We start from the raw sequence: 24,947 nt of genomic DNA, 5'->3' as shown, positions 1-24,947 counted from the left end.
CTCAGGACAGCATGGCCGATGTGTTCATTCATCTCGGGACGGCATGGCTGATGTGTTCATTCATCTCAGGATGGCATGGACTAGGTGTTCATCCACCTCAGGACAGCATGGCCAATGTGTTCATTCATTTCAGGATGGCATGGCCCAGGTGTTCATTCATCTCAGGACAGCATGACCGTTGTGTTCATTCATCTCAGGACGGCACGGCCGACATGTTCATTCATCTCGGGACAGCATGGCCCAGGTGTTCGTTCATCTCAGGACAGCATGGCCCGGGTGTTCGTTCATCTCAGGACAGCATGGCCCGGGTGTTTGTTCATCTCAGGACAGCATGGCCGATGTGTTCATTCATCTCAGGACGGCATGGCCGACGTGTTCATTCATTTCAGGACGGCATGGCCCAGGTGTTCATTCATCTCAGGACAGCATGGCCGATGTGTTCATTCATTTCAGGACAGCATGGCTGATGTGTTCATTCATTTCAGGACGGCACGGCCGACGTGTTTGTTCATCTCAGGACAGCATGGCCGACGTGTTTGTTCATCTCAGGACGGCATGGCCGACGTGTTCACTCATCTCAGGACAGCACGGCCCAGGTGAGTCTGTTTCTTATGAAGATGACGACATTCCAGGTACCAGGGGTAAAGGAGGCTGCCCCAACCTGCAGTCCAAGCCCACGCTGGAAGTCTCCTGGCCGCAGCATTCAAAGAGGCCACAAACACCTCCCATCGCTGCCCACCCAATTTAACCCTGCTGTGGCTGGCATGTGTGTGCACTGCAGTCCTCAGGGCCTTGGTGAGGGGAGGGTCATTACAGGACACCTGCCTGGCCACCAGGAAGCCACTGTGGCACCGGCCATGTGCACATGGAGCCACAAGGTGTGGTGCGTGTGTGGCATCTTCTTCACGGGCACCTAGGAACCTGCTAAGCCCCAGGCAAACAACTGTGTCTGTTTCATGGCCTTGGTCACTGAATCTACAAATCTATGTGCTACCCCACAGTATCTGAGGAATGAACATTTTAATGCAAGTCGGGAGGGGTGCAGGCAAATCCAGCACAGACTGATCTTCCTCCTTAAGGGTTTGCTTGTAGTCCTACAAAACCCATTTCCAAAGCACACCATGGTGAGACCTCTATTTCCTGCTCCCACGGCCGCCTCCCATGGCCGGGGTGCCCTGCTCTGAGCACCTCAGGCCCCACCATCCAGCCACAGTGGCAGCATGGCACCACCCACGCCCTTGGCAGCACCTGAGGCTGGCCCACAGCCTCCCATGGAAGCTGGAAACTGCTGCAGCGGCAGGGCCCCCACACCTCCTCCCACTGGGGCTCTGCTCTGCTGCCCTGGCCTGTTCTCCTGTCAGTGTGGCTTTGTGTTACCTGATGACTGGCCCATCAGATTTTGAGCTTCTTCGGAGGAGTGTAAAGGCAGCTTTTCTCCTGGAGAGCAAAGAAGAGACAGGTTTAATGTTTTGCCCTCAAGGAGATAAGCAGGGTCCCTTCAACTAGGGAAGCTCAAAATATGACTGGCGCACGCACCGGCGCTCTCTCTGGCCACAGCCACAGGCATGGCACTGCCTCTGTGGGGAGGGACACCTAGCTGCCAGGCACGCCAGGGGGAGAGGGGGGTTGTCCACAGGCATGGCGCTGCCTCTGCAGGGAGGGACACCCAACTGCCAGGCATGCCAGGGGCAGGGTGGGCTTGCCACGGATGGCCACCCTTGATGGCCTCATGACAGCGACTGGGCTAGGGCTGACTCGGGTCACTGCTCTCCTGGGGCAGGGCTGGGTGCCACCTTGGGATACGCAGTGGCTTCCTGCAGAAGAGCATCCACGTCAGCTGTGCTCTTGCTCCTGGAGAGAAAAGCCTCCAGGGCGGCCCAGTGGGTACGCTCAGCAGGAAGGGCCACCCAGGACAGACTGCGGGCAGCACAGGGCACTGCCCAGCAAGTGCAGACCCTCGGTGGGCAGACGTCTCTTCACAAGCAAGGCTATGGCAAGGCCAGCTGTAAGGTGAACCAGCCCCCAACAGTGGGAGCGAGACCCACCTCCCGCCCCCACCCTGTCCCCGGCCCCAGCCCCAGCAAGCCTGCTGCATGTGAACGCCGCAGCACCGGCACTCACAAATCCAACTGCACCTGTTCTATGCACTGCACCGAATAACACAGCTCAGAAAGAGAAAGTCCCCAGGTGAGAAGAGAAGGAGGTGAGAAAAGGGCTGGGTACGTACCGGGGAAAGCGGGGTTGGTCTGTCCGAGGGGAGGAAAGGGGGTTTGCTGCATGGCCAACTGGTGGAGCTTGGTCAACTGCTGGGGTAGGAGGGACACGAGAGCTAAGAAGGTTATTGTCATCGAGTACAAGTCACACCAAATTAAAACGGCAGTAACAGAACTTTGCACAGATAGATAGAAAGAGGGCCATGCGGACACATGGCAGATGCAAGAGAACGCAAGGACTTGGCCTGGGGGAAGCCAATGGAGTCCAGGCTGTGAGCAGGCCAATGCCCGGCGTGCAGAAGGCAGCTCCGGAAGCCGCTGTCTTCTCTCCCTGGCTCCCCGGCAGCTCCAGCCTAGACCGGCCCAGCCTCCCTCTCACCAGCTGGTGTGGACAGGAGGCTGGGGCCAGTGGGCCATGGAGAGTCTGGGGGAGTCCAGGAGCCACAGATGAAGACCAGCTGCACTTCTAGGAGATTCAAGGCCGAGTCACTAGTCACTAAAATCAGCCTAGCCCCTGTGGGATCCACAGAGGCATGAGTTTGCAAACCTCGCCCTGGTCTCACCCTGTGCTAGGCCTGGCCCACTCCCCTCCCCTGCAGGGCCTTGCTTTACCCATGAGGTGACCTGGGGTGGGGGGAACACCTGAGGGGCCACACATCTGCCTTTTAGTCACCTCCAGAAGCGTCTTGCCTTTCCTGGGATTACAGAACACTAGTGCTAGAAGGTTCTGTGGAAGGCATGAGGGAGGGACGCCTCGGGCCCTCAGCTGGGAGCCGCCTGTGTCCCCGGTCCCTGCAGGCTGCCCCCAGCCCTTCTCCTCCCATCCTCGGGCCACAAGACTTTTCAAGGGGGCTTTGATGCCATTTTTAAAGTTATTTTACCTGAGCCTCATTTCTTAAATAAAAACTAAAAATAGCAGAAGATAATGGTAAACGTGGCAAGGTGAGGCTCATAATTCTTCCACCCTTTGGAGAGCCCAGGGCTGCTCAGCAGAGGGCATGGTGCTCCTCAGGCCTGGCTTTCCCAGGAGCCACAGGCCTCCAGTGGGGCTGTCAAGGCTGGGTGCTGCAGAGGGTGTCCTGGGGCTCAGGAGGACCCTGGGCAAAGCTCCTCTGTGGTGCTGCCCAGCAGGCAGGGGAGGTGGCACATTTGGGGAGGGCACCACCTCCCCAGCATTTTCCCTTCAGAACATTCAACCCAAATAAATCCCAGCGTGGCTGTGTGTGGACTCCTGCGACCCACAGCCAGGCAGGCACCTCAGCTTCCTCACTGCACAGGGTATGGGTGGCAGAAGCTGCCACAGAGGCCACCAATGCTGGGGGGTGTGGGCGCTCGGAGCAGAGCTGCCATCTGCACGTGAGAAGGCCGGCTGCTGAGCACCTGACCAGACCCCCATGCTTGCCCTGGCCACCCCTGGCACCTGGGTTCCCTGACACCAGGGAGCACAGTCAGGAATGCGGCGACTGTGGTCCCAGCGCCTTCCCAGCTGTGTGCTCCTGGGTGGGTTTGAACTTGGCCTCTCAGGAGCTGGGAGCCCTCCCCTAAGAGTTCACCCAGAGTCAAGATAAAGGCCCTTCCTTCCTCAGTACCTAGTACCCTGGGAGGATCGGGGGGCCTGCTCCCCAGCCCTGCCCCTCCCCAACCCCTGGCCTTGCAGCCAGGTCTGGGCTGGGGGGCAGGGCATTGTGGCATCTGCGCTGCCCCATGATGTAACGTGAACGGGTGTGCCGGGTTATCTGAGGGGATGTGTGTGGAAGCCCCTGACGAGGGTGCCAGGAGAGCTTGTGGGGGACATCCTGTCCCAAGGACACCAGCTGAAGTCACCGGGACAGTCTACCTCCCGGAGATACACGAGGCCCTGCGGGGGCAGGAGGAGGAAGCAGGCGCATCTGGGGTCCTAGTGAAGGCGCCCCACCTGGACGGGGCACGTCAGGAAAGACCGCAAGTGTCCCAGGCCGGGTAGGAGAGCTGCAGGCAAGATCGCCCACGGCGGGGTGAGACACTCCTGGCAAATTCATCCACAGCCACAGGACGCTGAATGGCACAGATGGGATCCGCAAACCCCCGACTCCTAGTGGGGCTCAGGAGCTGCCCCATGGCCAGGGAATGGGGCACGGGGAGGGGCGCTCCCTGGGCTCTACAGGGGTTGGAGTCGGCTCCAAGATGGCTCAGCTTGTGGCCGTGGCGACAGGAAGGCCTGGTGTCTCCAGGCCTCAGTTCCTTGACTATAAAGTGGGGGAATGGATGTGAGTGAGCAGCAGCTGTGGCTGCGGATGACAAAAATGTCTCCTGATACGTTTTGGGCTTTTTATGATGAAATGACCACACTAGCAAACAAATCTCTCTTCTCCCCACCTACAAATGTAGGGGACGTCCTAGGGAGGCCTGGACTAGCACTGGGCGGTGCTGGGGGAGCATCTGTGGAGAGGATGGGCGGGTGCTCACCCTAGCTCTGCCCGGGATCAGTCAGGCCACTGCACCTCGTTTGGACTCAATTTCCACATTTTTTAAAGGAGAGAACAGGACTAAGTGCCAAGGGGCCTTCCACTTTTTGGGAAAATTCTGCCCTGTTGAAAAAATGAGGCTTTTGGTTCTCACCAGTACCTCCAAACCACTGAGAGGAAAGAGGAAGAAAGTCAGGTAGGCAGGCGAGAGGGAGGGAGGGAGAGGAGGGGAGGATGTAGGGGGAGAGGGAGGAAGGGGAGGGGAGGGAGGAGGGGGAGAGGGAGGGAGAGGAGGGTAGGAGGATGGGCAGGGGATGTATCCCATTACTGATGTTTCTCTGTAAACTGTCTTTTCTATTTCACATTGTTTCAGAATGTAACACATAGACAACTACTAAAATTACAAGCATTTAAGATGCAACTCAATGAATGATCACAAAATGAATGCACCCATACAACTATCACTCAGGCCAAGAAACAGGCCCCCAGCACAGTGGTTCTAACCTGCATTCTATTTCATCTCCAGCAAAATGTCTGTTTCTGTCATTCGCCCATGTTTCTTATTGCTTGATTTTTGCTGACTTCTCAAGAGCACCCCAGCATTTCAGATGCCATCCTGTCTGTCACTCCTGCTGCACAGATCTTCTCCCCGCTCTCCCATGGTGTCTTATGAGAAACAGTATTCCAACATTTCACAAAGTTGAACTCACCAGTATTTTCCTTTACAGTCTGTGCTTACGTTTTAAGAAATCGTCCCCTGATCTCAGAATAGGACATTCTTCTATATTTTCTCCTAAAACTGCTAAATTCTTCTGTCTTGTGTTGGAGTTCTTGACACATGGGAAATGATTTTTGTTTATGGCAGGAAGTAAAGATCAATTTCCCCACGTGGTTGACCCACCGTCCTGGCACTGTGTGGAGCATCTGCCCTCTCCCAGGCTCTCGTGGGCAGCTCTGTCCTGTCCAAGTCTCATAGACGGCTTCCTTCCTGTGTGAGGGATCCTGGGCTCTCATGTCTGATCCAGTCTACTTGTCTCCCACTGCACCAAAACCACACCGTTTGACATAGTCATCTCCGATGATCACAGTGCCTCCTTCTGGACACCTCCTGCGGGACCTGCCTGAGGCTGTTTTACAGCTAACATTTTTTAGATAATTAGAAGGAATACACTAAAATAATGATAAAAAGCATAGTAATACACAAACCAGTAACACAGTTGTTTATCAGCGTCATTTAGAATGACGAGCTGTGCTTAACGGCAGGTGCTAGATGGCTAGACGGCTGGCAGTGCAGTGGGTTTGCACCAGCAGCACACGTGGGGGTAACGTGCTGCACTGCAACCTCAGGTCAGCTGCAAGGTCACCAGGCAACAGGAATTTCTCAGCTCCACTATACTCTCATGGCATCACCATCGTCTGTGTGGTCTGATGTTGGCTGAACCGTCATGTGGTGCATGACTGCAATTGCTTTGTGCTAAGAGAGTGTGGTCGATACGATTCCAATTTTTGAAAGATGATGAGATGTGCTTTATGGGCTGGTATGTGATGAGGTTTTGTAAATGTCTCCATGAATTCTACAGCTGTGGCAGGTGTAACGTTCGAGGTACGGCAATCACGTCAGGATCACGGGTGGTTCTGTTGATGCCTTCTTCACACTTGTCTACTTGGCCTATCACTCATGGAAAGAGAGGTGTGCCAAGTTTTTGCTATAATGTCTGTCAAATTATCTATGTTTTGTCAATTTTTAAAATATATTTTAAAGCTATGTTTTAGGCACGTATAAATTTTGAATTATATCTTCTTGTGAGCTGAATTTTCTATCAACATGTAATGAGTAAAGTTTTTCTCTTAAAGTCTTGTTTTTTTCCCCCTACTGATGTTAATATTGGTACACCAGCTGATTTTGTTGCATATTCCTTAGCCTTTTCCCATTCTTTCATTTTTTCTGGGTTCTTATGCTTTAGGTGTGTCTCTTGAAAGAAAAAAAAACAAAAAAATTATTTTTTGCTTGTTTGCTTGCCTATTTGTTCAGCTTAAAAATATAGTCTGGCAGCCTTTGCTTCTTAACTGGAATTTCATAATTTTACTTTGATCACAATCATCCACATATTTAGACTAATTTTTGACACTTGTTTTCTAATTGTCCTGCTTTTCCAGAGTTTCTTTTTTATTTCACTCCTTTTCTTCTGTTGGATTAATAATTTTTCCCCTCACTTGTTTCCTGTCACAGAGGTTACATATCGGACTTCTTTGTTGTTAGTGGTCATTGAAACTTTAACATGTGCGTTGAGAGTCTACACTCAGTGTCTTCTCCCTCTAGTGGAATGAGACAGAGACCTGCGGGTGTTCGCATCTCCTCACGCACACCCGACCTTACGTGTGCTGTTTCTACCCACTCGACTGTTCCTGGTGTTCGCATCTCCTCACGCACACCCGATCTTACGTGTGCTGTTTCTACCCACGCGACTGTTCCCGGTGTTCGCATCTCCTCACGCACACCCGATCTTACGTGTGCTGTTTCTACCCACTCGACTGTTCCCGGTGTTCGCATCTCCTCGTGCACACCCGATCTTACGTGTGCTGTTTCTACCCACACGACTGTTCCCGGTGTTCGCATCTCCTCACGCACACCCGACCTTACGTGTGCTGTTTCTACCCACTCGACTGTTCCCGGTGTTCACATCTCCTCGTGCACACCCGATCTTACGTGTGCTGTTTCTACCCACACGACTGTTCCCGGTGTTCGCATCTCCTCACGCACACCCGATCTTACGTGTGCTGTTTCTACCCACTCGACCGTTCCCGGTGTTCACATCTCCTCGTGCACACCCGATCTTACGTGTGCTGTTTCTATCCACTCGACTGTTCCCGGTGTTCGCATCTCCTCACGCACACCCGATCTTACGTGTGCTGTTTCTACCCACTCGACTGTTCCCGGTGTTCGCATCTCCTCACGCACACCCGATCTTACGTGTGCTGTTTCTATCCACTCGACTGTTCCCGGTGTTCGCATCTCCTCACGCACACCCGATCTTACGTGTGCTGTTTCTATCCACTCGACTGTTCCCGGTGTTCGCATCTCCTCACGCACACCCGATCTTACGTGTGCTGTTTCTACCCACGCGACTGTTCCCGGTGTTCGCATCTCCTCGTGCACACCCGATCTTACGTGTGCTGTTTCTATCCACTCGACTGTTCCCGGTGTTCGCATCTCCTCACGCACACCCGATCTTACGTGTGCTGTTTCTACCCACGCGACTGTTCCCGGTGTTCGCATCTCCTCACGCACACCCGATCTTACGTGTGCTGTTTCTATCCACGCGACTGTTCCCAGTGTTCACATCTCCTCGTGCACACCCGACCTTACGTGTGCTGTTTCTACCCACGCGACTGTTCCCAGTGTTCACATCTCCTCGTGCACACCCGACCTTACGTGTGCTGTTTCTACCCACTCGACTGTTCCCGGTGTTCACATCTCCTCGTGCACACCCGATCTTACGTGTGCTGTTTCTACCCACTCGACTGTTCCCGGTGTTCGCATCTCCTCGTGCACACCCGATCTTACGTGTGCTGTTTCTATCCACTCGACTGTTCCCGGTGTTCGCATCTCCTCGTGCACACCTGATCTTACGTGTGCTGTTTCTACCCACTCGACTGTTCCCGGTGTTCGCATCTCCTCGTGCACACCCGATCTTACGTGTGCTGTTTCTACCCACTCGACTGTTCCCGGTGTTCGCATCTCCTCGTGCACACCCGATCTTACGTGTGCTGTTTCTATCCACTCAACTGTTCCAGGTCGAGTTTATTTGTATTATTTGTTTATCCTGTTTGGGAATTGTTGATGGTTTCTCTAATTTTGGAAGGTTCTCTGTGTGTCTCTTGGAATTTTCTCTCTCCATTCCATGTCTCCCCTGGGCTTCCAACTGGATGCATGTTCTTCCTTCTCAGGCCTCCTGACTAGTGTTTCTCAGACCTCCACGGGCCAGTGAGTCGCCCGAGGGTCCTGTAAAGATGCAAAGTCTCGTTCTGAGAAGGGCAAGCTGGGAGGAACAGCATGTGAGAGCCGTGCCACTGGGGCCCTGCAGAGGGTGCGGTGTTCCAAGCAAGGAAAGATGGAACTCCAGCCAGCAGTGAGGGTTGCCTGGGCCTCTTGTTTCATGAAAGGAGTGGCTGCAGTAGCACAGCTCTGACAGCAGGTGGGGCCATGGGCAAGCCGCTGCACCACTTGCAGCTGCAAGGTCTTGGAAGGTGCCAGGCTTCAGAGTGAGAGAGGCTGGGCCCCTCGGCATGTGCCCAGAGCATGCGGCATTGACTACTCTCTCACTACAGTGAGGGGACCCCTCACCCACCTCCCCACAGGGTTCCAGAGGGAGACACAGAACAAGTGGGAGGAGAAAGCACTCTGCAACAATCTGCCCAAATCTCTGCAAGTGCATGAGATTGTCACAAGAGCCCACGCGTGCCCTTCATGTGTCCAGGGGAAATGCGTGGCACCGACAGAGTCCCGGGGATTGCACAGCTGGGATGAAGGGCCGCATCCAGCACAGGATCTGGTCGTGCCTCCCATCCCTGGCTCCCACTTACAACGACACATTTCTACAATTTCCCCACGACTCTTTCACTGAAGAACCAGCTTCTTAGTAGACACTGGTGTCCGCTTGATTCCCAGCGTTGCTGCACATCTGCCACTCACGTCCAGCTGCCTGGGCGGCTGTGCCAAGCCCTCCCATTCCCTGGCTCATTAGCTCTGGCCAAGGCACCTCTCAGAGCTTCCACTTCCTCGTGTGTGGAACTGGCCCCACGGTCCTGAGATCTGCCTCACAGGGTTGGTGCAAAGGCTCATCTAAAATCGCCTACATGGCAAACTCTTCGTCAACTCTAACATGTTTTTATTTTTGCTTGCTTTCAACATCCCCTTTAAATGATGGGGACGTTAAGTAAGGGAGTGATTAGGAGAGCTGGAAGACTAGAAATAAAGATTTGTATATATGAGGGTATTTTTTCTTTTTTTGAGACAGGGTCTTGCTCTGTCGCCCAGGCTGGAGTGCAGTGGTGCAATCTCTGCTCACTACAGTCTCGACTGCCGGAGCTCAGGTAACTGCCCCACCTTAGCCTCCTGAGTAGCTGGGACTCCAGGTGTGTGCCACCACACCCAGTTAATTTCTGTATTTTTTTGTAGAAATGGGGTCTTGCTCTTTTGTCCAACCTGGTCTCCAACTCCTGGGCTCAAGCAATCCTCCCATCTTGGCCTCTCAAAGTGCTGGGATCGCAGGAGAGAGCCACTGTACCTGGCCTATGAGGGTATTTTTGAAGTTCACTCATTTCTTCCAGAAAAAACAATTCCTTCCTGGTGTAACTTCCCCGCTGTAATTAAAGGTGCAGACGTGCTGGGTGAGAGTCAAGCAGTCTGTCCAGGTGTGGGCGCTCTCGGCTCTGCTCTCAGGTCCCAGGTCTCAGGTGCTGTTTCTCTTTCTCATTTCTGAAACTGCACTTGGTCTGACCCAGGCAGGACACACAGAGGCACATGGATAGTCTCCAGGGCTGCCGAGTGGCCATACTGGAGAGCCTGACTTCAGTCCTCCTAAGTCCTTCACCCTGTCGAGCAGCTCTGTGCCTCTTCAAAACACCTGCACATCCAGAGCACAGTAAGCCTCGAGGAGGACGTGGGTAAAATGATGCATGTGGCGTGTGAGGAGCTGGAGAAAAGCAGGCGAAGGCAGATCAGTGCCGATGACTCCTTTTTTTTTTGAAACGGGTCTCGTTCTGTCGCCCAGGCTGGAGTGCAGAGGGATGATCTTGGCTCACTGCAACCTCCACCTCCCGGGCTCAGGCAATCCTCTCGCCTCAGCCTCCCGGGTAGCTGGGACTACAGGCGTGTGCCACCACGTCTGGCTAAATTTTTTTGTATTTTTGGTAGAGACGGGGTCTCGCCATGTTGGCCAGGCTTGTCTCAAACTCCTGAGCTCAAGCGATCCACCTGCCTCAGCCTCCCAAAGGGCTGGGATTACAGGCTTGAGCTACCACACCCAGCCTGAGCCACCATGCCCAGCCCAGATGATTCTTAAATAAGAACAAGCTAAAAACACTTTTTAAAACTGGGCACAGAAAACACATGCATATTTTAGTTTTACATAAAGAAATACTCAAACCTAAGGAATGTATTTTCTTATGCTTGATGTTTCTTATTCATGGGCCCACACATCCAGGTCAAATATCACGTTCCTAAAAAATGACTCTAGTATCTGTATATAAGCCGGCACTGTGGTATAAATAAACTTTGTATTCAATTACATTATAAATTAAAACAACATATTCTATAATTATATTGATATAGTAAGAAATTGAAGCTTTAAAAATTTCTACTAAATACCGATGCTTTAAAAATTTCTACTAAATACCAAGCTCAGATACAAATTGCTTCCTGACTATTGTTACCTATGTCACTAAACAATCATTTTATTTTTGTGTTTAATGATTAAGTGATTGTCCAAGTCTTCAATTTTACACGCCTGCAAGAAAAGCACCATGGAAGCTTCCAGTCTTCTATTAATAACAGCTGCTCTGCAAATCTCATGACACCGATGTAGAAACAGAATGTCTTCCACAGAGAGATACTTCACAGTAAAGAACCAAGCGCCTTAGTCCACTCCTGCTGCTATGACAAAATGCCTTAGACCGGGCAATTCAGAAACAGCATAAATGTGTGGCTCACAGTTATGGGGGCTGGAAACTGGAGATCAAAGTGCTGGCTGGTTTGGTGTATGGGAAGGGCCAAGTCTCTGCTTTCAATATGGTGCCTGAACGCTCTTGTCCTCACATGACAGGAGGGATGGAGGGGAGGCCACTCTCTGAAGCTTCTGTTATCTGAAGCCTCTGTTATCTGAGGCCTCTGTTATAGGGGCACCAATGCTGTTCACGAGGGTGGAGCGCTCATGACCCAATCACTCCCCAGCCCTGGGACCCCCCACCCTCTAATACTGTCACCTTGGTGATTAGGTTCCAACAGAGAAATTGTGGAGGAATAGACATATTTAAACCATAGCACCAGGTATCTCAAATCATTACCACATGCACTGAGGCAGTTCTCTTAACAGTTAGTTATACATTAAACTAATTTGAAACAATCTGCACAACTACCCATTTCTAAGAGATACTGAGAAAGTCACATGAGAAAGAGCAAAGCCACCAATCGAAGTAAAAGCCAATCACCAAACATCAGGGTCCTGCAGTCCCACCGTGGCACACAGCCACGGCCTCTGGAAATTTCAGACCACAAGCATTCTGGCTCAGACGGGTGCTCAGCCAAAGGCCACAGTGAGAACGTTAGGCTCTGTGGCCACAGGAAATCCGTAAGGTGTCACCAGAGGGTCCCTGCAGGTCTGAGCATCCAACTTCAGGGCGACTGTCTGGGGTAAACACAAACCCTGACCCCATCGACTAACCTTCCCTTTACCAAGGGCACCGCACACTGCCTTTCCTTTGGGTTCCAGAGCTTTGCAAAGTCAAGTGACCCCCCCTTTGGAACCTGCCTCTGCACACGTGCATCTCTAGATGTGCGTGACCACCTGTCCTGAGTCCTTAATGGAACTGGGCCACCCCAGAAAGTCGCCTCTGACTCCCCTGGCTTCCATCTTCATCTTCCTTCACACAGGCTTTCTGTTAGGACACATCACACCTGCCCCCCACACCCCTGCCACACACATGCACGGGGACGCGCACGCGCGCGCGCACACACACACACACACACACACCTCTGCTTCTGCCCAACGCTGCTGCTGGGCGCAGGCTGGGGCAGCCCCAACAGTGCCTTCCGGTGTGTGGTGGCCACAGCCCGGCTTCCTAGTGGGGTCAGGCACTGGTGTCTACAGCTGACCCCAGGATGAGATGTCCTTGATGTAGCTACAGCAGCATCACCAAAGGTCTGACGCCAGGAACCACTAAAAACGGCCTCTGGGGCAGGTGGGGAAAGGCTTTTCTTGATCAGCGTTTCTCTACCATTTGATTCATGTGTTGCCTTTAATGGAATAACTATTGTTATCTATTCTCCATTCAATATAAATTTTCCTGCAATGATAGTAAATTGCATCTCTATATCAAAGATTTATTTAATGTTCATTAACTCTTAAAAACACTCCTGACCTGCCTTCTCATCTCACTCAGATGGACGTCCTTGCCCCCAACTCAAAAGCATCAGGGTTTGCAGAAGGCTCTGGAGCAGCCCGCTCACCTGGCGGCCACCTCCCAACCAGCTCAGAGGCGCCTCTCGCAGTTCAGAGGGAGCAGCACACAGACTGGAACTGCGTTACGAGGAGCAGCTACTGAGCTGGGCAAACGTTCAAAATGGTTTAGAGAAGAGAAACCTCCTCAGAACCAACTCCAGGTTTGCCCCATCTGCTGACAGCACGAAGCACTTCCGGTGGGGCCGTCTGTCTCTCGTTCTCTGTTGCTCTCCCCTCTCCTCTCCCCAGTGCCTGCCAGTGCGGCCGTCACTCCCTGGGGGCCCTAAAGCCGCCTCCAGAGAGGCCCTTTGCTCACAGTTTGCACCTTTTATCTCTTGGCCCCTAAGGGGTCTGAGCCGCACAGCCCAGAGCCGCCCAGGGTTCCCCTCCGATGGATGATCTGAGAGTATCTTCTTCCTCCAGCACTGGAATTACACCGACGGTTTATCTGAGAGTAACTTCTTCCTCCAGCACTGGAATTACACCAGTGGTTTATCTGAGGGTAACTTCTTCCCTCAGCACTGGAATTACACCAATGGTTTATCTGAGGGTAACTTCTTCCCCCAGCACTGGAATTACACCGACCGTTTATCTGAGAGTAACTTCTTCCTCCAGCACTGGAATTACACCGACGGTTTATCTGAGAGTAACTTCTTCCCCCAGCACTGGAATTACACCGACGGTTTATCTGAGGGTAACTTCTTCCCCCAGCACTGGAATTACACCGACGGTTTATCTGAGGGTAACTTCTTCCCCCAGCACTGGAATTACACCGACCGTTTATCTGAGGGTAACTTCTTCCCCCAGCACTGGAATTACACCGACCGTTTATCTGAGAGTAACTTCTTCCCCCAGCACTGGAATTACACCGACCGTTTATCTGAGAGTAACTTCTTCCTCCAGCACTGGAATTACACCGACGGTTTATCTGAGAGTAACTTCTTCCCCCAGCACTGGAATTACACCGACCGTTTATCTGAGGGTAACTTCTTCCCCCAGCACTGGAATTACACCGACCGTTTATCTGAGGGTAACTTCTTCCTCCAGCACTGGAATTACACCTAGACCCAGCAGGAGCAGAAAAGAGGTGTCGGAGCCCCCGGTCATGGAGCTGCATGGGACCCAGCTCCGCATGGCCCGGGCGGAGCCAAGGACGCTATGCCCGCCTGGCATCCCACTGATTCTGGAATGAAGACAAAGGCCTATTCCACTGGCTTTCCACAGCCTGGATCTGTGTGTGTAGATGGACCCTATGTTTTCATGTGGACTCTGAAAGGGGGAGTTAATTTCACCAGGCCCTCAAATGTGCTTGCCAAGGTATCTTTGTGGCCTGTTTGATAATGTCACCCAACTTCTTAGGCGCAGAGAAAGTATCACTGACGCCTGCCTGTGGCGGGTGAGCACATCCTCACTGCCCTGCACGGGGACAGAGCCCGTCTCAGTTCCCTCCCAGGCCCCGTGGGAGGGAGGAAAACCCAGGACTGCGGCAGAATTGAGACAATTTGACATCAGGCCAAGTCCTCAACACAAGCAGAATTAGTGCTAAGAGGTTAAAAGGTTATTCGAGGTCATATGGATACGACACAGGTCAGGAACGCTGAGAAGTTGATTAATATTATTGTGTAATATTAATGTTAGTAGCAATTAACAGCAGCATGCAGGTAGGTAAACAACCATGAGAAGAGAAAGGTGAGAGGAAGACAAAGTGAAGACTCACATCCGGGTGAGGGATGGCATACTGTCCCTGGATTGTGTAGGCCTAGAGAGAGAGAGAGACCCCGTCAGACTGCAACCTGGCTGCACCACGGCTCAGCACCCGCCGCCACCCTCCAGCATGACAAGGACCCTCCGGTAGAAGCTTCCCCCTCGTGTGCCTCTCCACCTGTCCCCATCCTAGGACAAAGGGCCAACCCTCCCAGGGCACCAGGAGCCCCAGGGGAGCCGCACCCACTTCCTCTGGGCGGGCAGAGCTGAGCTGGCCAGTTCAGCGGGTGGGAGGGAAACAGTTCAGCCTTGATGCTTCCGACTCCAAGTTTCTTAAAGCAAAAGAATCGAAGAGTGATCTGCCCAGTAAGAGGTCTCCACTAATTATTACGGTTTTGAAAATTTAATCAGTCATCTGAGTAAATACTTTTGGGAAATAATTTACCCCAAGAAGTCCAAACAACAAAAGAAAGCTCTAAAAGGTGACCAAAACCAATTCACCAAAAGCCAGTCTACGTAGGAAGTGGGTCTACGTCAGTCACAGCTTGCTGCCTCTCATGACCGCCCTGAAGACAGGGAGGGGGTGGCCCTCCTGACGTGGGGGCAGCAATACACCCCTCCCAAGCCATCGTGTGGGGCTCCTGAGGCCTCATTTTGGCTTCAGTATTTCCCTCGCCTTCAAAACAGTGACTCCGACCTGCAGCCTCTTCCCACCCACCCTGACTCTGAAATCCGGGCAGGTGAGAGAGGCCCCACCTGCCCCACAGGTCCCGTCAGTGGAGACGCTTTCAGGTGATTCAGAAACTCATGGCCAGACAACAAATGGACCACACAGAGTCAAGGGAGAGTGAAGACCACGAACAGCTGTCAGGACTCGGGACATGGACAGGGCTGCACCAGGCCTGGTGGCAGCCTGGGGGTGGAGGGAGCGGCTACCAGCCCCTGGCTGTGCGGGCCCCACGCCACTTCCCATGAGGACCCGTGGTATCGGTGTTCGCGGTGACCACACGTGGGGGTGGGGGGACCCTGTGCACCAGAGAGGGACACTTCAGGGAAGGATGTGTGTCACCTCTGTGCAGCCCAAACCCTCCCATGGGTTTTGAATCTGCCAAGAGTTTTCATCATAAACAACCCAATCCTCGGAGTTAAAGGCCAGTCAACCTCCAGACAGGGACCCGGCTGCAGCCCAGCTTTGAAACAAGCCCCAGGGCTGTGAGGCCACAGTGCTGCGTCAGCTGAGGAAGTAAAAGAATCTTATCAGATAGAGCAGGAACCAAGGACCTCACTGTCCTGTACAAAGTGTCTTGAGGGCCACCTGCAAGTGTTTTGTAAAGGTGCTGCCAGAGGCACGTTCCCATGTGTCACCGAAGGTGAGGGGCCCTGGAACTCATGCTGGGAGCCGCCCCCTCAGCGCACGGGGTCCCAGGTCAGCCCCAACTGTCTGAGCTGAACCACAAGAGCTCAAGCATCCTGCATCCTGGGCCACGCGAGTTTTCTGACTGATCTTCTTACTGTTATGTTTTCTATCTGCTCGTCCCTTAGCAGGCTCTGCTGATTTAACTCACGACCATGTCGTGCTAGAAACGCGGTGGTGGCTGACAGGAGCTGCTGCTGGGTGCCCCCAGAGCACTCACAGTGGTGGGGCATCTTCCAGGTCCCTGATTTCTCCAACTGGACAGAAATAAAGTGGATGGGCCCTCCAGGTTAGCTCTCTAGGGTCTGTATTGGGTTGTGTGTCCTAATCTAGGCACTGTGGGTCTGAGTCGTCAAGGAGACGCCAGTGGCCTTGCAGGTATCCGGCCCACACTTCTGGGTTTGCATTTCGGCAGCTCCCCTGGGTTACTTCAGGGTGGGTAACTCCCTGCGACTCTGTCCTCCACCACCAAGGCTGACCACTGGCCAGACCAGACTGTCCCCAGGGCCCCAGGGCCCAGCTCTCAAAGGGCTGACATTCTAGCATCAACCTTCGGACAGCACCCACTGCACAGGGCCCTTCACCTGCTGCAGTAGGGAGGGCGTGCTACTGCCTTCTTTACAGGAGTGAGAGGTGTGTGGCCGGTGGCTGAGCAGGGCTCAGCTGCACCCCCTCTTCCCTGGAGCTGTGACTCCTCCCCCAGTGGCTTTAAGACCCCACATGTGTTTGTATAAACACACCTTCCTTTTGAAAAAAATCCTACCTTTTACCACATGATATCATCATGGATTTGTTTAAACATAAAGGTGGAGTCCACAGAGGTTACTAAACCGGTTACCTAACCATGAATTTGGGGAAAGCAGCGAAATGGAGTTTTGCACAGGGACTTCTCCCGCCGTGTGACTCCGTGTGACCCTGTGACCTGAGCCCCCTAGGTCGGCGAGGTAAGGACATGTCCTGCTGCCCACAGGGCTGTGACACCAGGCAAATCCCTGGCTAGCCAGGCCCAGTTTCCTGGCTATAAAATGGGGGTGTGCCATGCCCTGGGGCTGCTGTAAGGATGGCATGTGCATGTGGGGGCTCCCTGACCACAGCAAGACAGGAAGGGGTGTGTGCCAGGCTGTGGAGACGAGGCCAGTGTGGGGAAAAGGCATACCCTGCCCTGAGCACACGGGACCCTGGGAGGGAAGGGATGGACACACACTCCCTGTCTCTCCCTCAAACACGGGCCACAACTGGGAGATCTGATAAGATTCCTTTACACCGTAAGGAAAAGCACCAGGAAAAGTGCTAACATTTGCCCCTTCTCTCCTTTTTGATGGTAAAGTCAAACCTCAGGCCTGTTCTGCCTTGCCAGGGTCACCTGTGGGAACGTCTGTCTCAACTCTCCCTTGAACAAAGACACACATCACGGCCGACTGGACACAGAGCTCTTCCAGGCCAACCCCCGCCGGACACCTTCAAAGTCTGTTGGCCACAGACTGGCCCTGAGTGGGTGGGTGTTCCCTGTGCCCTGGCCAGGGTTTGGGCTCAGGTGAGGGGCTGGGGCAGGGCTCCCCTCCTCCACTCTCCTGCAGAGGTGCTGCCATCCCTGGCGGGAGAACACAGAGCTCAAGGGCTGAAACCAAAAGAGCCAGATCTGCAGACTGGGTATGGGGTATGGGGCGCCTGTGAGGCCCCTGCTCACAGCAGACGGAGGTCCGGACACAGCGGCACAGACGCCCGGTCGTCGGGCCATGCATCCTTCCTCAGTGCAGAGCTCCCTCCTCTCGCACGTCCCTGCTACAAGCACATCCTGGGAGTTTGGGAACACGGATGTCAGTGGAAACAAGACCCTGGTTCTCACCATGCTGTTTCCAACGTGAGACGTAAAATCACCTAGAAAGCGCCTGCGCGCCGGCTATCTAAGCTTCCTAAAAACACCCAGTTCTGGGAACTGGATTTAGGCAGAGCCAGATCTTCCTGCCCGGGTCAGGGAGGGAGAACATGATTCCGTGGGGCCGTCTCTGTGGGGGAATGCCGCTCTGAAGGCCCCCTGCGTCCGCCTGGTGCTGGGTGTAGGTGGAAGAGCTCTGCCTCCAGCACGGGTGGGAGACGTGCACGTGAGAAGGCGAGAAAACCTGAGTGCACTAACGGGCAGCGGCGGGTGCTGCAGTAAAAGGCTGAGGTTGGCAGTGGAGGCCGCGAGCGGATCGGCTCTTACCTGACCACCTGCAAAAATGACAGGGGTGGAGGCGGGCTTTGGGCGGTAGGGAATGGTGGCACCTTTCGGTGGGGACTAGGAAAAGGGACAGGAGAGGGAGAGAGAGCGTTAGAGCAGCTTCGCAGCCTGGCAATGGGGAGGCGTGCCCCGGCCCACCCCACTCAGCCCCCTGCACCAGCTCCACGCTCCCCACACCTCCCCGAGTTTCGCAGCAGTGCTGGGGGAGGGGAGTGAAGACCTCCAGCCCCCACACCCTCTGTGTGGCTGTCTTATGGCCTGTCCCTCCAGAGGGCTCCTTTTTGCTGAGCCCTGGGCTGCAGTTTGCCACACACCGGCCTCCTGAGAGTACCGCCTGCCCCGAACATCCCTGGGAGGCTCTGTGGCAGTGCGGAGAGTCAGTCCCATTGTGGGAGGCCAGCTGGGGTGGGTCCCTTGCCCACAAGACCCTGCTGGACAAGGGCTGGCCGCCAACCCAGACGGCCCCCTGCGGTGCTGGCCCCTCCACCGGGGCCCCTCCTGGGATGCGCAGGGCCCTGCAGGCCTGGCTGCACGGCTTCACAGGGAGCTGCCCCTTGGAGCAATTCTCTTGAATGTTCTGGAGAAAGTTGAGCCCTGTAGGACTCCACCGGGACCTATATCCAAAGCGCTTGGCTTGGCCCGTGGTGACAGTCAGCAGAGATCTCCACAGGAGACTTGGAAACATCTCACTTCACTATGTGAAAAAGCATGTTTAAAGTGCTTATAGACTCCAGAGGAAAAAATCCCATAGTTACGATGAGGTTTGCCTTAATTTCCCTTGGGTATTCTGTCGGAAACACAGGATTAACATTCTCCAGCGCCAGCATTTTTAGCCTGCCCTCCTTCTCCTGGGTGAGTCCCCTGTCTAACTGTCCCCAGGGCCCAGGTCAAGGAGGCAGAAGTCCTGGGCCTGGGGGGCACCACAGCTGGGGTTGGTCCAGCAGGAAGAGGTGGGGGCTGGAGCCCATGAGCCGTTCCTGGCAGGGGGCAGCCTGTCCTGCTGGGAGTTCTGGGGCCTTGGCTGACTCAGGGCCAGCCCAGCACTCAGGGAGCGCCACTCACACTCAAAGCCCCAAGATGGGGAGTGGGTGGCTGGATCCGCAGCGCCAGGGCCCTGGGGTGTGACCTCAAGTACTGTGGGGAAGGGGATGTGGGGCGGGTCTGGGCTGACTTGAGCTGGGCCTGGGGTGGGAGGAACTGACTGAGGTAGACGGGAGCCGCTGCTGCCCTCCCCGGCTCCTGGAGATGCCCAGCCTCGGGCCAGTGCCCCTGTGCTATGGGCCCTCGACCCCCACCCAGGCACAGGAGCTCCCAGCTGACCCTGACCTGTGATTCCCACTTCTTCTCTGGGCACAGGGCCTGCTGGCCTCCCCTGGGACTGCATGAGCCTCCCTGCACTGGGTACAGGGTGCTGGGCCCTGGGTGGGCAGGGCACCATCTGTGGCGATGTCTGTATTCTCAGCAGGCCCCACCCAGACTCATGGCACCCTGGGCAGCCCTTTCCTCCGTCATCTCCTGGGTGTGAGGTGAGGCATGCCCACTACCAAGCCCAGAAGTCCTCCAATCAACCAGGAGGGTCTTTAAGGCATCCTTGGCTTTATTTTTCCAGTCACTCTTCATCTGAGGGCGGACCCAGCTGTTTCCAGGTGTGATGAATCTTCCTCCCTGGGATGATGGCCCCTGGGACTTGGGATGCAGCACAGCCAGCGGGAGTGAGAGCAGCTGCCTGGCCATCTTCACTGGCCATGTCTGCTACGAGCTCCCTGTCTTGCTCAAACCTCCCTGCCCAGGAAGGAGATAGGGTGGTTCGGATGATGGCTCTGGGGGCATGGGCAGCCTTGGGGCAGCGGGTGCACCTGCATCTGTGGAGCTGCACCTGGCACTGCACCGGGACGCAGGCAGCAGAGGCACTGGGTGACGCTGACGAGACCCACGTGTTGTTGAGGAGCTGGACCTCGGCCCTCCATTAGGGATGTCCCTCCTAGAACTGTTCGTGTCACTGGCTGCTCCTGAGCCTCGGCCCGCAGGGCCTCCAGGGCCTGAGACTGGAGAGTTGAACAGATAGCTCAGACCAGCATGGCACTTTCGCCCTAACCAGGGAGTGGGGAAGATTTCAGAACAAGAATATTTTGAAAAATATTTTTCACTTCACAAAGTATCAAACTTCAGGGAAACAACAACTACGCAAACATTTTTTAAAGAGTCAAACATGGGGTTTGAACCCCAAGCCAAGTACGAGAGAGGAGTGAGCCTGGGCTGCAGGAGGGGCTGGAGGCTGACCCTGCAGAGCTGCTAGAACTTTCCATCTGGGGCGAGGCTTCTTCATTTTTGCTTCAGGAAAGACTGGCAACTGTTGATAGCTTCATGAATTTTGAGTATACTTCTGAGTTTTTTCCTCCCCCCGAAACTTCAAGAGAGGCGTCTGCTCTGAGCGGGTTCTTCTCTGCTTTTCCGTTTTAATGCTTTTGTTCACCCATCTCTACTTCTGCATGAGTTTTGTATGTTTTCCCGAGTTTTGACCTCTGTTCCTCCACGGTGGTTTGACGCCTCCTTCTGCAGAACTGCATGCGCAGAGGAGCCTCCTGCCTTTGCCTCCCTCCCACCCCCAGCTGCCCCCCAAGGCCTGACTCCAACGTAAAGAGCACTGTTTCTGCAGCTCCAACTCAGTGCAGAAGACCCCTCAGTGGGATGACAACTTCTTACCCAAATCCGAAGATGAGAGGAGAGGCTCCCTCCTCTCCACATGCTCTCCCCTAGACGCCCCCACGAAGACACTGGACCCTGAGCTGGCAGCCCCAGCACCCCTGTGGCGCCCATACCGGCACCGCTCTCGCTCAGGCTGACTTGGGGTCAGGAGCCCCCCACAGCCCCAACTGTGTGAGTCCTTGGGGCGACCGGGGCTTCCAAGCCTTTGCCTGCAGTGCTGGGAGGCCAAATCCAGCACTGACGTGGGCTGGCCCTGGCGCGCAGACGGTACCTCCAGCATGACCACACAGATCTGCTTGACGCACTGGATGATGGCATCTGGGGTCCCCGAGATGGTCACCGCTCGCTCCGTGGAGTTGGGCAGCATGTCCCCAGCCACCTGCACCTGGGCACCTGTGGACTGGAGAGAGGGGACATTGGAAGGGAGCACCAGGGTAGCAGCGCATGGGGCAGCAGTACCTCCCGAGTCTCGGCACCCAAGGCAGCTCGGGGGACACTTCCTTGGAAACCTGCATACAGCCCACGCGCCCCCTCCCCCACCGCCATCCCAGCACTGCCCCCATGCTGCCCCTGCTACCACGGCCTGGCACCCGGCCCTGTGCCTTCCCTCGGGCGCACTTGGCACCTGGCCAAGGCTAGACAAGGAGGCATCTAATCAGAGGCATTTTCAGGGAGACAAACGACTCTTTTCAAATACACGGAATCCTCTCTCCTCTGTGGAGTTTTAGGTCACAGAGAAAGGTGGACTCTGGTCATGGGAAAGGAAATGAAGATTGGGGCAGCTGCCCTGCTGCATAGGGCAAGGATTCAGGCTTTCCTTGAAATGGGACAAACGTGTGGATGTGAAGTTCACATCTGCAAACTCTGCCCACTGGGACAGGCCGATGGCTCAGGGCTGTCTCCAGGTGCCCTGGAGGCCCCTCACAGGGAGTAGATACAGCACCCAGTGCCCAGGGCCTCCCTTGCCCAGAACCATGTGACCAGCTAGTTCCTCCCTGTCCCCAGCACGGCCCATAGGAGTGTAGTGGGTGGGCAGGATCCATAGGTGAGCAGTGGGTGGAAAGGGCCCATATTTGGGCAGTGGGTGGGGGGTCCGTATCTGGGCAGTGGGTGGGGGGGGTCCGTATCTGGGCAGTGGGTGGGCCAGGTCCATATCTGGGCAGTGGTGGGGGGGGTCCGTATCTGGGCAGTGGGTGGGGGGGGGTCCGTATCTGGGCAGTGGTGGGGGGGGTCCGTATCTGGGCAGTGGTGGGGGGGGTCCATATCTGGGCAGTGGGTGGGCCAGGTCCATATTTGGGAAGCAGGTGAGGGGGGTCCGTATCTGGGAAGTGTGTGTGGGGGGGTCCGTATCTGGGAAGTGGGTTGGGGGGGTCCATATCTGGGCAGTGGGTGGGCCGGGTCTGTATCTGGGCAGTGGGTGGCCGGGTCCGTATCTGGGCAGTGGGTGGCCAGGTCCGTATCTGGGCAGTGGGTGGGCCGGGTCCGTATCTGGGCAGTGGGTGGGGGGGGGGTCCGTATCTGGGCAGTGGGTGGGGGGGGTCCGTATCTGGGCAGTGGGTGGGCCAGGTCTGTATCTGGGCAGTGGGTGGCCGGGTCCGTATCTGGGCAGTGGGTGGGCTGGGTCCCTGCAGTGCAGTTGTGCTTGCTCATGGGTCCTGTGTTCCTGTCTCGCACTTTGAGCTGTGGGGTCTGCGTGGCCAGCATTGGGCTTGCAGACAGCAGGGACAAGGCTCAGGAAGGCTGCCTGGCCTGTGGCCACCACCCGCAGCCCGCCTAGAGGCTCCGCAGCGGCCCAGGCTGGGAAGGTCCTGTTACCTCCCTGATCTCCTTGATCTTGGAGCCTCCTTTGCCGATCAGGGACCCACACTGGCTGGCAGGCACCACCAGCCTCAGCGTCACTGGGGGCTTGCTGGTGGCAGGGCTGTTGCTCATGGAGTTGATGATATCCTAGGGGAGAGACACGTGTGTTGGCAGCACTTCAGGCGTCGTGCAGTGAGAAAGCAGGAGGGCAGGGGGTGTGTCCTGACTTCCCACACTCAGAAGCCCACAGAGCCCCTGTCATGCACAGCCGAGGACAAAGTGGCCAGGCCAGGCCAGGGAGGACCAGGAGACGTCGCTGAAATGGATGGGCAGGCTGGCAGGGCACACAGACGGCAAGGCAGGATGGTCACCGTGCCGCAGTGGGGTTGGGGCGGGTCTGGCCTTGGTCGTGGAGACCTGGTGGGAAGGGGGTGTGGACAGACAGGCTGATACAGGAAGTGTGGGTGCTGGCCTAAGGGGAGGGGAGAATGGAGGCTGGAGACTAGCTGGGGGCTGGGTCTGATGCCCAGAGCCAGGTAAGGCAGGGATGTCGGGGACAGGCCACGACTGGGTGTGGAGGGCACGGGGGCAGAGAATGGCTCCTGGTGTCTGGCCTAGGGAAGGAGATGTGTGGTTAATGTAGAAGCGGGAGAAGGCTGAGGTGGGGGGCGGCCTGTGCCCACCCTCCTGGGCAGCCTGGTTTGGCTCATGGTCCTGACACCCAGGAGACAGAGCTGGGCTTTGGGTTCAGGCTGGCAACCCGTGGGGGACAGGGCTTCTGTCAGCCGCATGGGGCGTGTCCAGGCTGTGGCCCGGAGCTCGCTGCAGAGCGTGGCAGACAGCGCGGCAGAGGCAGTGACAGGGCAGCTCCGGAGCTCGCTGCAGAGCGTGGCGGACAGCGCGGCAGAGGCAGTGACAGGGCAGCACCCCCAGGACACCCCCAGCTCTGGATCCATTATGCCTGAGTTACGATTCAGGGCAACAGGATTTGCTCTCCACGAAAAGTGCCCTCTTCTTAGAAACAAGGCTTGGCCAGTGTGTGCCTGGACAAACTGCTATAGACTAGCAAGGAAATAGGATGGTGTCCCCTTTGTCTATTTTTTGTGCTGAGAGCTTGACTTTGACCCACACAGAGCGTTCTTTCTGGTGAGGCTGGGGAGAGGCTCTGTGTGTCAAGGTGTCGGGTTAGGGACCTGAGGCACAGGCACGGACACTAAATTCCCACTTCCTGCCACCCGCTCTCATGGGGCCATGTCTCAATCCCCTCCTCTCCCAGGAAAACTCCTTGAATGGAGTCACTGCAACTGGAATTCTGGTGCCTGTCTCTCCAAGTGGCCTCAATTCCCCAAGGATGATTGGGCCTCACTGGCTGCCCTGGGGGAACATTTGACTTTAACGAAATTGTTCATTAAGAGGCACCTTAAAAAAGAAAGATAATAAGATTTTTTCAGGCCCAATGGGCAGCATTTTTTGATTGGTATGAAGAGGCCTTCAAATGAACTTCTCATTTAAAAATAGTTTCACTAAAACATTCTTTGGCTACAGCTAGTCAGCAACCTGGCAGACGTCGGCAACAAACCAGACCCCCAGGCTCGTAAGCTCTCCCTCCTTTTCCTCCCACTGCCCCTGCCCAGCACTCCCCCCGCCCCGTCCTTCCCTTCCAGCTCCTCCATCGACTCTACCTCTATCTTTTCCAGCCCTCCTAAAACCCCCAAATGCCAGCTGCCTGTAAAAACCCATCCCCCGAGAGCCAGGCGAATAGGCAACTCCAGAAGCTAAACCTTGGATTGGAGCTGAATTCAGAGCCACACTTACAGATTCCCTACACCCAGACAAGACCTGCAATGACCAACAGAAGAATTTAGAATTCTTTTGGTTGCACATGACCCAGAGTTACCTGAACTCTGTCAACAAATGAACCCGAGGGTCAAAAAAGGTCCCATAGCAAAGTCCTAAATGCCACCCCTAAAACATCTCCAGTAGGAACTGATTAGAACAAGCACAAAGACAGACGTAAGATGAAACAACTGGAGATCTGGGGACAGACTAGAAAGTCCCTTCCGACAACCTCGACTGTCTCTACCCTTCGAGGTAAGGGAGGCGCTGGCGTGAGGGCAGCCCTTTCGTCCCATGAGGTCAGTGGAGTGAAACCCCACTCGAACGCAGAAGTAGGGATGGGAATAGCCCTTCTGCTGAATGACAGCCACTGGCAGAACACACTGAAAA

General features: G+C 55.1%; 1 protein-coding gene across 26 annotated transcripts in view, besides 2 other annotated features; it reads right to left on the bottom strand.

Moving 5' to 3' along the window:
• PCBP3 (poly(rC) binding protein 3) overlaps positions 1-24,947 on the bottom strand; it is a 298,726-nt gene that overhangs the window by 10,228 nt on the left and 263,551 nt on the right. For 14 of the 26 annotated variants that reach the window (NR_145492.2, NM_001382284.1, NM_001382286.1 and 11 more), the window contains 6 exons: positions 22,737-22,868; positions 21,193-21,321; positions 18,198-18,272; positions 14,594-14,635; positions 2,228-2,306; positions 1,378-1,437 (listed from right to left, as the gene is read on the bottom strand). Coding sequence is in view for 23 of the 26 variants with exons in the window: in NM_001382284.1 (NP_001369213.1) it covers positions 1,378-1,437; positions 2,228-2,306; positions 14,594-14,635; positions 18,198-18,272; positions 21,193-21,321; positions 22,737-22,868 (517 nt within the window). In the remaining 3 variants the exon portion in view is untranslated. 26 annotated transcript variants of the gene reach the window in all.
• Positions 12,549-13,048: an enhancer, noted in NCBI's record as "H3K4me1 hESC enhancer chr21:47339089-47339588 (GRCh37/hg19 assembly coordinates)". NCBI's record gives its function as "activates a minimal SCP1, AML or CMV promoter by ChIP-STARR-seq in naive H9 embryonic stem cells {active_cell/tissue: H9 hESC(naive)}" and the evidence as "EXISTENCE:reporter gene assay evidence [ECO:0000049][PMID:30033119]".
• Positions 15,521-15,747: a silencer, noted in NCBI's record as "fragment chr21:47336390-47336616 (GRCh37/hg19 assembly coordinates)". NCBI's record gives its function as "represses an EF-1alpha promoter that drives an FKBP-Casp9 reporter gene in an ReSE screen in phorbol 12-myristate 13-acetate-treated (for megakaryocytic differentiation) K562 erythroleukemia cells {active_cell/tissue: K562(+PMA)}" and the evidence as "EXISTENCE:reporter gene assay evidence [ECO:0000049][PMID:32094911]".

The sequence above is a fragment of the Homo sapiens genome, chromosome 21 (assembly GCF_000001405.40).
Source record: "Homo sapiens chromosome 21, GRCh38.p14 Primary Assembly".
Lineage (NCBI taxonomy): Eukaryota > Metazoa > Chordata > Mammalia > Primates > Hominidae > Homo > Homo sapiens.
Note: the sequence above shows the minus strand (reverse complement) of the source record. Positions and strands in the feature narration are given on the sequence as shown.